The sequence below is a fragment of the Homo sapiens genome, chromosome 21 (assembly GCF_000001405.40).
Source record: "Homo sapiens chromosome 21, GRCh38.p14 Primary Assembly".
Lineage (NCBI taxonomy): Eukaryota > Metazoa > Chordata > Mammalia > Primates > Hominidae > Homo > Homo sapiens.
Window position 1 is genome coordinate 43723927 of NC_000021.9, and position 11236 is coordinate 43735162.

The following is an 11236-nucleotide window of genomic DNA, read 5'->3' on the forward strand; positions in this document are numbered from 1 at the left end:
GGAGGTTGTGGACATCAGACATTCCATGATTGGATTCCATGGCTTTGAGAATCTCACTTGGGGCCTTAGCTCGAGACCCATTTAAATACCACATCGCAGAGACCAGAAGGCAAGACCATGGGACTCCCTGCAGCCCCCACCAGAAGACCCTGTGAGGTGGCTGGCTCCATCTGGGGCCTGCAGGCAGCCGCATTCTTTCATTCTCGTGGTCCGTCGGTGCGGAGCAGACCTGAGACACCTGAGGGGGCTTGGCGGAGGTTGTATTTCTCTGTCTAGGGGCCTCAATGCCATGCCCGTTAGGCAGGTGGACTGTGGCTCAAGCGCCCCACAGGAAGAGGCAGGGGGCTCCCTGCCCTGGAACCCTGGATGTCAGCACCTGACTCCTACCTGCTGTGACATTGGCAAAAGTAGCTGTGGCAGAGGCCGAGGGTCCCACCTGCTTACTGGGCCCCGCTTCTCCGGACAGGAGCAGAAGCTGCAGAGCTTTGGGACCTCAGCACTTGAGCAGCATGTGGACGCGAGCAGCGAGTAACCCCGGGCTCCCAGAGACGCGTGACGGGGTCCCCAGGGGGTTGCTTGAGGGCCCTCAAGTCAGGAGCTGATTTCTATCCTCAAATATTTAAGCATCCCCAAGCCCAGGTGCGGTGGCTCACACCTATAATCCCAGTACTTTAGGAGGCCGAGATGGGGGGATCACTTGAGCCTGGGAGTTTGAGACCACCGTGGGCAACATAGCAAGACTCCAGCTCTACAAGAAAAAAAAAAAAAAGCTGGCTATGTGACTCACATCTGTAGTCCCACCTACTTGGGAAGGTGAAGTGGGAGGATCACCTGATCCCAGGAGGTGGAGGATGCAGTGACCTGTGATGGTGCCACTGCACTCCAGCCTGGGTGACAGAGTGAGACCCTGTCTCAAAAAAAAAAAAAAGTAAAAAATAAACATGTATGGAAGTACAATGTATTTTTAACCAGAAAGTTGACAGAGAATACCGATGCACTAGGTAGACCCTGTTTTTAAAAAAAAAAAATCCCCTGCTCTGCAAAGTGGCCTCTTCTTCAGAGATGTGGCATCACTGGAGGGTTCTCTTGGGGAAATGGTTAAAACACCTGGTGTTGGCTGGGTGCAGTGGCTCACGCCTGTAATCCCAGCACTTTGGGAGGCTGAGGCAGGCGGATCACAAGATCAGGAGATCGAGACCAGTCTGGCTAACACGGTAAAACCCCGTCTCTACTAAAATTACAAAAAATTAGCCAGGCGTGGTGGTGGGCGACTGTAGTCTCAGCTGCTTGGGAGGCTGAGGCAGGAGAATGGTGTGAACCCAGGAGGCGGAGCTTGCAGTGAGCCGAGATCGCGCCACTGCACTCCAGCACGGGCGACAGAGCAAGACTCTCGTCTCAAAACAAAACAAAACACCTGGTGTTTTGAAAAATCTTTACATTTTTTCTTAGAATTCCTAGGATAGAAAGAGTCTTCTTTGCCTTCAGAACTGCACTATAAGATCCTGGAAGAATACCACCCTGCCTTTTAAAAGACATCATTTTTGCCTTAACATTTTTCAAGGTGACATGCATTTGCAAACAGTACAAAAAAGCCAGCGCTGGGCCAGGCACGGTGGCTCACGCCTATAATCCCAGCACTTTGGGAGGCTGAGGTGGGTGGATCACCTGAGGTCAGGAGTTCGAGACCAGCCTGGCCAACATGGTGAAGCTCCATCTCTACTAAAAATACAAAAAATTAGCCGGGCGTGGTGGCACACTACTGTAATCCCAGCTACTCAGGAGGGTGAGGAAGGAGATTGCTTAAACCCAGGAAGTGGAGGTTGCAGTGAGCCAAGATTGCACCACTGCACTCCAGCCCCTGCAACAGAGCAAGACTCAGGCTCAAAACAAAAAAAAAAGAAAAGGAAAGGAAAAAGAGCCAGTGGTGAAAAGTGTGCCTCCTTCCTTCCTCCGGTGGCCCGCACTAACTTCCTTAGAGGTGATGCTGATGCTGTATGTTGGAGACGCTTCTGAGTGTCCTCGGAACGTTCCCACGTGCTCTCCAGGCCATGCTGGGCAGCTGGCTTTCCTCCCGTCTAGCTGGGATTCTCTCTCTCTCTCTCTCTCTCTCTCTGGCCTCTGCCAGTCCCTGGGTCTGAGCCAGAATGTGTCCCAATCCAGGAAACAGGTGTTGTTTCTGGTATTTCTTCTTTTTCTTTCATCTTTCTCCAAGAAGGAAGAAAATTGGCTAGTTTTTTGCTTTTCTGACTCCCTTAGTTTGGGACTGAGGTTTCTGTTATTCTTGTTTGGCTGTCATGGAGAAAAACAAGAACTTATCGGTCCCGTTTTCCATTTTTTCTTTTTCTTTTTTTTTTTTTTTTTTTTGAGACGGAGTCTCACTCTGTCACCCAGGCTGGAGTGCAGTGGCGTGATCTTGGCTCACTGCAGCCTCCTCCTCCTCCCAGGTTCACGCCATTCTCCTGCCTCAGCCTCCCAGGTAGCTGGGACTACAGGCGCCCGCCACCACACCAGGCAAATTTTTCTGTATTTTTAGTAGAGACAGGGTTTCACCATGTTAGCCAGGATGGTCTCGATATCCTGACCTCGGGATCTGCCCGCCTCGGCCTTCCAAAGTGCTGGGATTACGGCTGAGCCACCGCGCCCGGCCAATTTTTGTATTTTGGTAGAGACGGGGTTTCACCATGTTGGCCAGGCTGGTCTTGAACTCCTGACCTCAGGCAATCCACCCACCTCAGCCTCCCAAAGTGTTGGGATTACAGGCATGAGCCACTGCACCCAGCCTATTGGTCCCATTTTCTGATCTATTTTTCCCTCTTGCCTCTGGCTCTAGCCCACATCGGTGCATGTGTGTGTGTGTATGTGGGTGTGCATGTGTGTACGTGGTGTGTTTGTGTACACTGTGTGTGTATGTGGGTGTGCATGTGTGTACATGGTGTGTGTGTATGTGGGTGTGCTTGTGTGTACATGGCATGCATGTGTGCATGTGGGATGCATGTGTATGGGGCATGTGTGCATGGCGTGTGTGCACATGTCTGGGCATGCATGCGTGTGTCATGGGCATGCATGTGTGTGTATGCGGTGTGTTGCTCTGCAGGCCCCAGTGTTGGCCGGCCCCCCCGTCTTTCCTGTAAGTGACTTCCTTCCTAGGAGGCTTGGTGTGACTGGCATTCCCTGGAAAGGGAGGGGCGGATCCGCAGAACGGGCAGCTTCGGGGACACAGGGGCTGCTGATTGGCATTGTGGCTTGTTGGCCTTGGTGTCTGCGGGTGCACACCCACACAGAGCTTTTGAAATGGAATCCTGCGTGCCCAGTTCACAGAGTGAGTGACGCTGAGGAATAAGAACAGAGGGAACTTCTCAAGGAGAAAGGAAGAAAGGAGTTGTCAAAGATGGGCTGAGCAAAAAACCGTGCAATCAGCCGAGGAGGGGCCGGCAGCGCCTCCCTTCCTGCCCACAGAGCAGCCGCCTTGTGCCCATCTATTCCCCGGCTCTGCATGGGGCCTCTGTTTTAAAGGGTTCTGTGGCCAAGACAAGCCTGCCAGCCCCTGTCCCTGTCCTTGGCCACTCCTCCGGCAGCTTTCCCCATTCCTGAAGCAGGTGGCTAGCCTGCTTAGCCTCTTGTCCCATCTCCTTACCTGTGACAGTCACCAAGCCTCTGGGAATGTGGTCACCCTAGGACAGCTAAACGAGGAAGCTGTGCAGTGCACACAGGTTTGGCTGACCCCAAGGGCCAGTTGCTGTGCATGGGAGCGAGTTCCAAGGGGTGGGAGGGAGCCAGCACTAGGTGGAGCTCTGCCAGCCGGGGCACAGGGAGGAACAGCATCCAGGAGGAGGGTGCAGCGGGTGTGAGGCCCTGTGGAGCAGACTCTGGAGCTAGAATAAGGTGGCATTTTTGCTGCACGCTGTGGGGGTGGACGGGGCCCGAGGTCACACCAGGGAGCCCATATTGGGTCAGGAATGCTGCTTTGGCAATCCCTGGACTCAGCCCCCAGCTGTCTGGCCATCTGGGCACTTCTGAGCCAGCCATGACCTCTGCCTTCCCTTAGCACTTTGCAGTGAGCCCAGCACCTGGCAGCCCCTGCCCAGCTGGTGCACGGTCCCTCTGCGGCACTGTGAGCCTGGAAGTAGGGAGCTGGGTGTCCATGTGCTCTGAGCAGGGCTGGGGGCCCAGGCGATGGACCCTGGAGCTGTGAAGGCTGAGGCAGGGGTGGGTCAGGGATGAGGGGAGACTGCTCTGGGGGGCTCGGGGCCATTTCCACCAGAAGTTCCCCCTGGGAGTTTGTAGGACAAAGGACATGGTTGATGTGGATCATAGGGCTGACCAGTGGCAGGCGGTGGGAGGGACGCGGGGTGCTTGTGCCCCAGGTTGATCAGGGTGAAGCAGTCACATGATCTCTCCTGTCCTCTTTCCTCATTCTGGTTTCCTAAAGTGGTCAGAGGTCTCTGCAAAATAAGCTAAAGGGAGGGTTCTGCTGGGTGGGTGGCTTCGGCTTCTGTGCAGCGCTCACCCTGCTCTCCCCTGGAACGCCTGGAACTAGGGTGGTCAGGCTGGGGTGGAGGAGCTCCCCTGGAATGTTCCAGAGCTTCCCCCACTCCTGCCGTTCTGAGTCACCCTGCCTCCCCGGAGGAGGAGGAGGATCAGCTGAGCCGCCGCGCTCACGTAGTGTCTGGCTGTCTGCCTGTCTGCCTCGCTGTGAGCAGAGTGGGATGCTGCCGATAAGGCGCGCACGTGGGCCCTGGGAGGAGCCCGAGGCAGCCACTCCCGCACGTGGGCAGGAGGAGGGCTGCTCACACCACCGGCCGAGGGAGGAGGACTGCGGGCTGCGCCTGGGCAGGGGATGAGCTTGTGTCGCGGGCGGCAGGGGGAAGGGAGTCGGAGAGCTCCTGCGGTCCAGCCGGATGACTGATGAGGTTGAAAGCACTTCCGCTGCGGCCCCCGCAGGAAGTTCCCAGGAGGAAGTTGCGACCCTTTCTAAGCCATCCCACTGGCCTGGACTCTGCTGGGATTATTTTGACCCCCCAGGGCAGAGTGTAGCCATCTGACTGGCTTTCTCTCTCGGCAGGAGACGGGGCGCACGCCTGCAGGTGGGGGAGCCCCAATACGTCACACGGATGAGCGGGGCAAAGCCCAGCCCCCCACCCCGCACCCGCCCGCCCGCAATCCTGCCCCCTGGCTGCGGCCTCCGCGGCTCTTCCCACCCCGGCTCCGCTGGGTGCTTGGCGCTTGTTTACGGAGTTACACCTTGCGGTAGAGGCTGAGCAGGAGCTTGTCCTTCAGACTTCCCAGCGGAGACAGCCAGGCTGTCCTGTGGCAGCAGTGGGTTTGTCAGAGGCCGGGGGCTTTGGCCAGGGCCGGCAGAGAGCCCCAGTCCTGAAGAACCCTCGTTCTTCGCGTGCTGTCGCGGGGGCTCCGTAGGCACGGTTGCAGCAGGGTCTTGGAGGCCGAAAGAAGGACGGTCTGAGCTGAGAGAGGGGAGTTGGCCAGGCACAGGGGTTTCAGAGCTTTACAGGATTCAGAAGGTGCCCGGGGTTCTGCAGCCCAGTGAGGAGTTCACAGAGTGGTGGGCGACCCAGCAGCCAGGGGCATCAGCCGTGGGAGTGGGACGCTCCGGGAGTCTGAGCTGCATCCTGTGGGCGCAGCAGACGCTCAAGGGCTGGGTTTAGAGGGGTACGTCTGGAGGTGCGGGTGGGGAATGCACATGAGGGGAGCTAGGAGCAGAACAGTAGCACGGGCCGAGCACGATGGCTCACGCCTTGTTATTGCACCACTTTGGGAGGCTGAGGTGGGAGGATCGCTTGAGCCCCGGAGTTCAAGACCAGCCTGGGCAATATAGGCAATATTTCTCCACAAAAAATAAAACATAAAAAATTAACCAGGCATGGTGACACATGCCTGTAGTCCCAGCTACTCAGGAGGCTAAGGCAGGAGAATCAATTGAGCCCAGGAGGGAGAGGTTGCAGCGAGCTGAGATTGTGCCGCTGGACTCCAGCCTGGGCAACAGCATGAGATCCTGTCTCAAAAAAAGAAAACCAAAACAAAACAAAAAAAACAAAAAACAAAAAATGGTAGCACGGCGGCCTAATAAGACCATCCCGAGAAGGGGGATGAGGTGATAGTCCACAGGCCTCAGTGGACCGTCACAGCAGGTATGGACATCAGAGAGTCTTGCTCATATCTGATTGATTGATTGATTGATTGATTGATTTGGTTTGATTTGAATTTTTTTGAGGCAGAGTCTCTCTCTGTCACCCAGGCTAGTTGCAGTCTTGGCTCACTGCAACCTCCGCCTCCCAGGTTCAAGTGATTCTCCTGCCTTAGCCTCCTGAGTAGCTGGGACTACAGGCACGAGCCACTACACCCGGCCAATTTTTGTATTTTTAGTAGAGACGGGGTTTTGCCATGTTGTCCAGGCTGGTCTCGAACTCCTGACCTCAGGTGATCCTCCCACCTCGGCCTCCCAAAGTGCTGGGATTACAGGCGTGAGCCACTGTGCCCAGCCCTCATATCTGATTTAGAGTATGTACTGCCAAGCTCCGTGGTGTGAATACTTCCACTATAGCTGAACGTAAACTACCAACCTGAGCAGGAAAGAGCTGTGCAGCAGCCTCTGTCATGTAGCGTTCTTCCCTCCAGACACAATAGACACAAATAGCTGAGTAGACAACAGATAGTGTAAAATGCTAGTAAACTAGGAAGTGGTGAGGCTACAATATATATTATGTTTACTTTTAATATAGTTTATGTAGTCTGGGTGCAGTGGCTCATACCTGTAGTCCCAGCACTTTGGGAGGCTAAGGGAGGAGAATTGATTGAGCTTAGGAGTTCAGGACTAGCCTGGACAACATAGTGAGACTCTGTCTCAACAAAAAAATATAAAAATTAGCCAGGTGTGGCAGCACGCACCTGTAGTCCTAGCTACTCAGGAGGCTGAAGAGGGTGGATCCCTTGATCCCAGGAGTTCAAGGCTGTAGTGAGCTATGATTGTGCCACTGCACTCCAGCCTGGGTGATAGAGTGAGACCCTGTCTCAAAAAATAATAATATAATTTACATAATTGTAAGTTTTATGACTCAATTTTTTTTTTAAATAGAGATGGAATCTTGCTATGTTGCTCAGTCTGGTCTTGAACTCCTGGGCTTAAGTGATCAATCCTCCAGCCTCAGCCTCCCAAAGTGCTGCGATCACAGGTGTGAGCCACTGTGCCTGGCCATATGACTCAGTTTTTAATAATGACTCTACGTAAAACTGACCTGCACTATTGCATCTGGCAATCGCGTGGCCCAATCCATCTTCAAAGCCAGCAACAGTCGTTGAGTCCTTCTTTTAACTTCCAATCTCTGATTTTTCCTTCTGCCCTTCAGCCTGAGAAAACTCTGCTTTTGAAGGGCTCATGTCATTCAATTAAACTCTCCTGGATAAGAAGATCCTCATGGGAGAGAGATCTCATCACACTGACAGGTTTCACCCACACTCAGGGGGTTGCCCGAGGGTGAGCGGGGTCCCTGAAGGTCATTCTTAGAATTCTGCCACGGAAGAGCCCCATAGGCCATTATAGGGACAGGGTTTACTGTAAAACAAGGTGATTCACATACACAGACCAGTAATGCTGTTCCTAAAGGGGCCCAAGCTGATCCCATCAGTCAGCAGGGCTGCTCACAGGGCACCTGGCCTGTCTTTGTTGAAGGCGATTCCTGTGAAGGCAGTGGAGGAGCTCCGGGTGGGAGGTGAGTGTTGTGGAGAGCCCAGCAGCCCGCTGGGCTGAACCTTGGACCAAGAACCAGTCTGTCCTTGGCTCCCTTGTGGGTGGGGAAAGATGAGGTGTATCAGGCAGGGTCCAGTCCAGAAACAGAAACCAGAGCAACAATCGTAGAGGCCGTTGTTCAGCCAGGTATTGAGAAAATAGAGAAGGCAAAAAGGGAACACTGGTGTCGTGGAGGAGACCCCTGCCAGCATTGGCTCCACACAGCTGACCCTGGGATAAGAGAATTGTTGGACTCTTTAGAACCTGGAGCTGGGAAGGCAGGTGTCTGCCAGCTGGCGGGTGCTGGGAGTCTGTGGGGGCATGCGATGAGGAATTCTGCTGGTGGAGGGAAAGCCACAAAGTGGATTCCGCTGCTGCTATGGGAAGGGACGGTCACTACCGCTGCCCCTGTGGGGAGAAGAGCCCCGGGGGAAGAAGAGCACTGCTGACAGAAGCCCATTCTCTTCGCAGGCTTCAGTTTCACATTCTTGGTACCTCCTGGTGGTGCCTGGGAGGGAGCCACTGCTGTACAGAGATGCCAATTCCAGAGGCATGGTCCGGCACAGAGCGCTGGCTTCCAGCTGAAGGACATGTGTAACAGCAGGAGATACCTTTCTCTGGGGTCCCAGGCTCCCGTCCTGGACCTTGGCACCCCGCCCCCCGTGCATTGTCGTCTTCTGAGTCTGGCTTTGTCTGGCACATGAAGTTGGATGGGTAGACTCTGGAAGCGTCCAGACCAGCTTGCGATGCTGATGAATAAGCTGATTTTGATGGGGTGTGTGAAACGGAGATGCCAGCCCAGGGGCTCAGCTTGCTCGTGCTCTCATTTAAAAGCAGAAAATAGCGACTTCATTCTCGGATACGTTTGCCAGCCCCAAAGGATTAATTATCTACACACCCAGAAGCAGTGGAGCAGAATATTTTGGCAGGATTTTCAGGATTTGTGTCATCGTTGCTTAATATCTGTTTCTTCACAGTCGGTTAGAATTTTAAAGGATTTGAAATACTGCAAGCTATCTGTGTATAGAGGCTGTGGATTCGGGCTGGTACATTTGCAAAGTGCCCATTTTATTTTTTATTTTTATTTTTATGTTTTTTGAGACATATTCTCACTCCGTCACCCAGGCTAGAGTGCAGTGGTGCCATCAGGGCTCACTGCAGCCTCCACCTCCTGGGCTCAGTGATCCTCCCACCTCAGCCTCCCGAGTAGCTGGGACTACAGACATGTGCCACCACGCCCGGCTAATTTCTGTATTTTTTGTAGAGACAGGGTTTTTGCCATGTTGCCCAGGCTGGTCTTGAACTCCTGGCCTCAAACTGTACTCCTACCTCGGCCTCCTAAAGTGCTGGGATTACAGGCATGAGCCACTGCACCTGGCCGCAAAAAAAGTTAAAGTGCTAACTTTAACTTTTTAGATTAGTAAGACTGCTAACGTGTTTCATTAGTTCAGTGATAATACCGGCTTCAAAGAAAAGCCTTGGCAAATACAAATCGTAAGCAGATAGCTCAACTCATCATCACAAAGCAAAGCCCACCCAGTGAAGAAACAAATGTGGGAAGCCCCGGAAGCCCCTCCCCATCCCCACCCCCCCCCCCGCCCCCCCCGCCCTGGAAACAGCCGCTGTCCTGGTGTTGACAGCAGAGGTGGCACTGCCTGGCTTTGAACTTGAAGGTGGGACTCAGGGGTGGTTGGCTGTTCAGATGCAGCAGGGAGAGAGGGTTTGGGGCATTGCTGGTGCACGGGAGAGGGTGGGGATGGCCCCCCAAACTAGCGGAGGCCGGGCTTGGCCCTGGGAGATACAGGAAGGAGGCCCCCACTCCGTGGATTCCGTCCTTCCTCTCCATCTGTCTGGAACCCTCACCCTCTCCCTCCCTCTCTGTCCTCACACACCCACTCCCTGACTCTCACTCAGGCTTTTGAGGCATGTGTGCTGCCCGCGGAGCCCTTGGCCTGACTTCTTCCAAGGGGTGGGGTAGACGCCCACATTTTCACAGCAGAGACAGCCTCCCAGCCTCTGTTCAGTGTGTGGACAGATGGGTATTGCCTTCGTTTTATTGTTTGTTAGTCTTATTGAGTGCTTTCGCTGGGTGCGATTTCTGGAATGATGCGTGAAGTGCTTCCCCATGGAGGTCCTGTGGGCTGGGCGATGCCCTCCCGGGCTGGTTGCTCCCCAGAGAGGGAAGCCCAGCTCCAGACACACAAGGCCCTGCCTGTGCACATGTCATGTGTGACTCGGGGAGAGCCTCCTGCTCTGATGCGTCAGCCCTCCAGCCTGCAGCTGGGGGCCCCGTGCCAGCCGGGACTCATTTACTCCCCTCTTCTGAGTCAGCACCTGCTGGGGTTCGTGGGACCCCAGACCTGGCTCTCTTACGCCTACCTGTTCCTTCTCTGTCTTGCAGGTTTTGGGATTTGAGATTGACGCGGTGAACTCTGTCCAGTTTTCAAACCACACAGGTAAGGCGTTGGCTCCAGCAGCTGGCATAGAGCAGACTGTGGGTGTGAGGGACGGGGCGGAGTGTGGGTGTGAGGGACGGGGCGGAGTGTGGGTGTGAGGGACGGGGCTTTCGTGTGGACGGGGACCTGGAGTCCTGGGCGTCGCTCGGGCAGAGCCTGCACAGCATATCAGGGTGTAGGCCTGGGTGGCCTCGCCTCTGAGAGGGGTTGTGTTGACTCAGCTTGGCTGCTTTGAGGCTGTGTGACCCAGTGCAGGTGGCAGAACCTCTCGGTGCTTCAGTTTCCTTCTCTGTAAGACAGGAGGGCAATCCTAACACCTGCCGTGAGGTTGCCAGAGTTGATTACGTCACTTGCATAAAATGCTTGGACCAATGCCTGGCTCAGAGCGCAGCCGTGTGACTCCTGCTGTCCACCTGCCTCCTGGAGCTGAGGAGGGTCCCCCATGGGGTGGTCGTGCTGGGGGATGTGTAGGTGGTTCTGGGTTTTCTCTGTTAACAGCAGTGCTGCAGGGCCCCGTGTGTGCCTCTGTCTCCCTGCCCTGGGACTCTGAGGACTTTGCTGGCTCAGGGGACTGAGGGTGGCCGGCCTCAGAAGCCCCTCACAGGCCATGCTTTCCATGCCCCCAGCCCCATGGCCTGGGGGTGGAGGTGCGTGGAGTCCCCCCTCCTCTCTGTGGTTTCTATACTGCTTCGTCGGCAGGAGAACAAAGCTGTTCTGTTCTTTGAAACCCCACCTCGCTTCCCCTGAAATTTCTCTGAACCCAGGCGGAACCTTGGGAGCACAGAACGTCCCAGAAACAGCCTGGCAGAGCATCAGTGCGATATGTTGGAGCAGGGAGGAGGGGCCTGGCCCCTACTCTTGGGAGTGGGAAGGAATGCTGTGGTTTCTTTTGAGGTGGGCATGACACGTGCTAAGTGAGAGGAAAGAGTTGCTTGGCCGGTGCAGACGGACAGGCTCCAGCTCTTGGCGGTGCAGATGGACAAGCTCCAGCTCTCGCTGAAACCCTTTCCTGCCTTTGCTTGCGGGGCACACTGGGTGC

At 55.0% G+C, this 11236-nt stretch overlaps 1 protein-coding gene across 10 annotated transcripts in view, besides 9 other annotated features; it reads left to right on the forward strand.

Moving 5' to 3' along the window:
* The window catches only part of PDXK (pyridoxal kinase), a 43171-nt gene that overhangs the window by 4798 nt on the left and 27137 nt on the right, over positions 1-11236 (forward strand). For 5 of the 10 annotated variants that reach the window (XM_047441005.1, NM_003681.5, XM_005261195.3 and 2 more), the window contains one exon: positions 10143-10197. Coding sequence is in view for 5 of the 10 variants with exons in the window: in NM_003681.5 (NP_003672.1) it covers positions 10143-10197 (55 nt within the window). In the remaining 5 variants the exon portion in view is untranslated. Of the gene's footprint in view, positions 1-4973; positions 5085-7001; positions 7459-8212; positions 8722-9396; positions 9415-9651; positions 9781-10142; positions 10198-11236 lie in introns of those variants that run through there. The other 5 variants (XM_047441001.1, XM_047441004.1, XM_005261199.3 and 2 more) reach the window with 5 other exon arrangements.
* Positions 1005-1164: an enhancer, noted in NCBI's record as "active region_18547". NCBI's record gives its function as "activates an Ori minimal core promoter by ATAC-STARR-seq in GM12878 lymphoblastoid cells {active_cell/tissue: GM12878}" and the evidence as "EXISTENCE:reporter gene assay evidence [ECO:0000049][PMID:35858748]".
* Positions 2748-3589: an enhancer, noted in NCBI's record as "H3K27ac-H3K4me1 hESC enhancer chr21:45146555-45147396 (GRCh37/hg19 assembly coordinates)". NCBI's record gives its function as "activates a minimal SCP1, AML or CMV promoter by ChIP-STARR-seq in naive H9 embryonic stem cells {active_cell/tissue: H9 hESC(naive)}" and the evidence as "EXISTENCE:reporter gene assay evidence [ECO:0000049][PMID:30033119]".
* Positions 4432-5273: an enhancer, noted in NCBI's record as "H3K27ac-H3K4me1 hESC enhancer chr21:45148239-45149080 (GRCh37/hg19 assembly coordinates)". NCBI's record gives its function as "activates a minimal SCP1, AML or CMV promoter by ChIP-STARR-seq in naive H9 embryonic stem cells {active_cell/tissue: H9 hESC(naive)}" and the evidence as "EXISTENCE:reporter gene assay evidence [ECO:0000049][PMID:30033119]".
* Positions 4484-4908: a silencer, noted in NCBI's record as "fragment chr21:45148291-45148715 (GRCh37/hg19 assembly coordinates)". NCBI's record gives its function as "represses an EF-1alpha promoter that drives an FKBP-Casp9 reporter gene in an ReSE screen in HepG2 liver carcinoma cells {active_cell/tissue: HepG2}" and the evidence as "EXISTENCE:reporter gene assay evidence [ECO:0000049][PMID:32094911]".
* Positions 4658-4797: a silencer, noted in NCBI's record as "silent region_13366". NCBI's record gives its function as "represses an Ori minimal core promoter by ATAC-STARR-seq in GM12878 lymphoblastoid cells {active_cell/tissue: GM12878}" and the evidence as "EXISTENCE:reporter gene assay evidence [ECO:0000049][PMID:35858748]".
* Positions 5148-5197: a silencer, noted in NCBI's record as "silent region_13367". NCBI's record gives its function as "represses an Ori minimal core promoter by ATAC-STARR-seq in GM12878 lymphoblastoid cells {active_cell/tissue: GM12878}" and the evidence as "EXISTENCE:reporter gene assay evidence [ECO:0000049][PMID:35858748]".
* Positions 5274-6115: an enhancer, noted in NCBI's record as "H3K27ac-H3K4me1 hESC enhancer chr21:45149081-45149922 (GRCh37/hg19 assembly coordinates)". NCBI's record gives its function as "activates a minimal SCP1, AML or CMV promoter by ChIP-STARR-seq in naive H9 embryonic stem cells {active_cell/tissue: H9 hESC(naive)}" and the evidence as "EXISTENCE:reporter gene assay evidence [ECO:0000049][PMID:30033119]".
* Positions 7589-8089: an enhancer, noted in NCBI's record as "H3K4me1 hESC enhancer chr21:45151396-45151896 (GRCh37/hg19 assembly coordinates)". NCBI's record gives its function as "activates a minimal SCP1, AML or CMV promoter by ChIP-STARR-seq in naive H9 embryonic stem cells {active_cell/tissue: H9 hESC(naive)}" and the evidence as "EXISTENCE:reporter gene assay evidence [ECO:0000049][PMID:30033119]".
* Positions 9084-10043: an enhancer, noted in NCBI's record as "H3K4me1 hESC enhancer chr21:45152891-45153850 (GRCh37/hg19 assembly coordinates)". NCBI's record gives its function as "activates a minimal SCP1, AML or CMV promoter by ChIP-STARR-seq in naive and primed H9 embryonic stem cells {active_cell/tissue: H9 hESC(naive and primed)}" and the evidence as "EXISTENCE:reporter gene assay evidence [ECO:0000049][PMID:30033119]".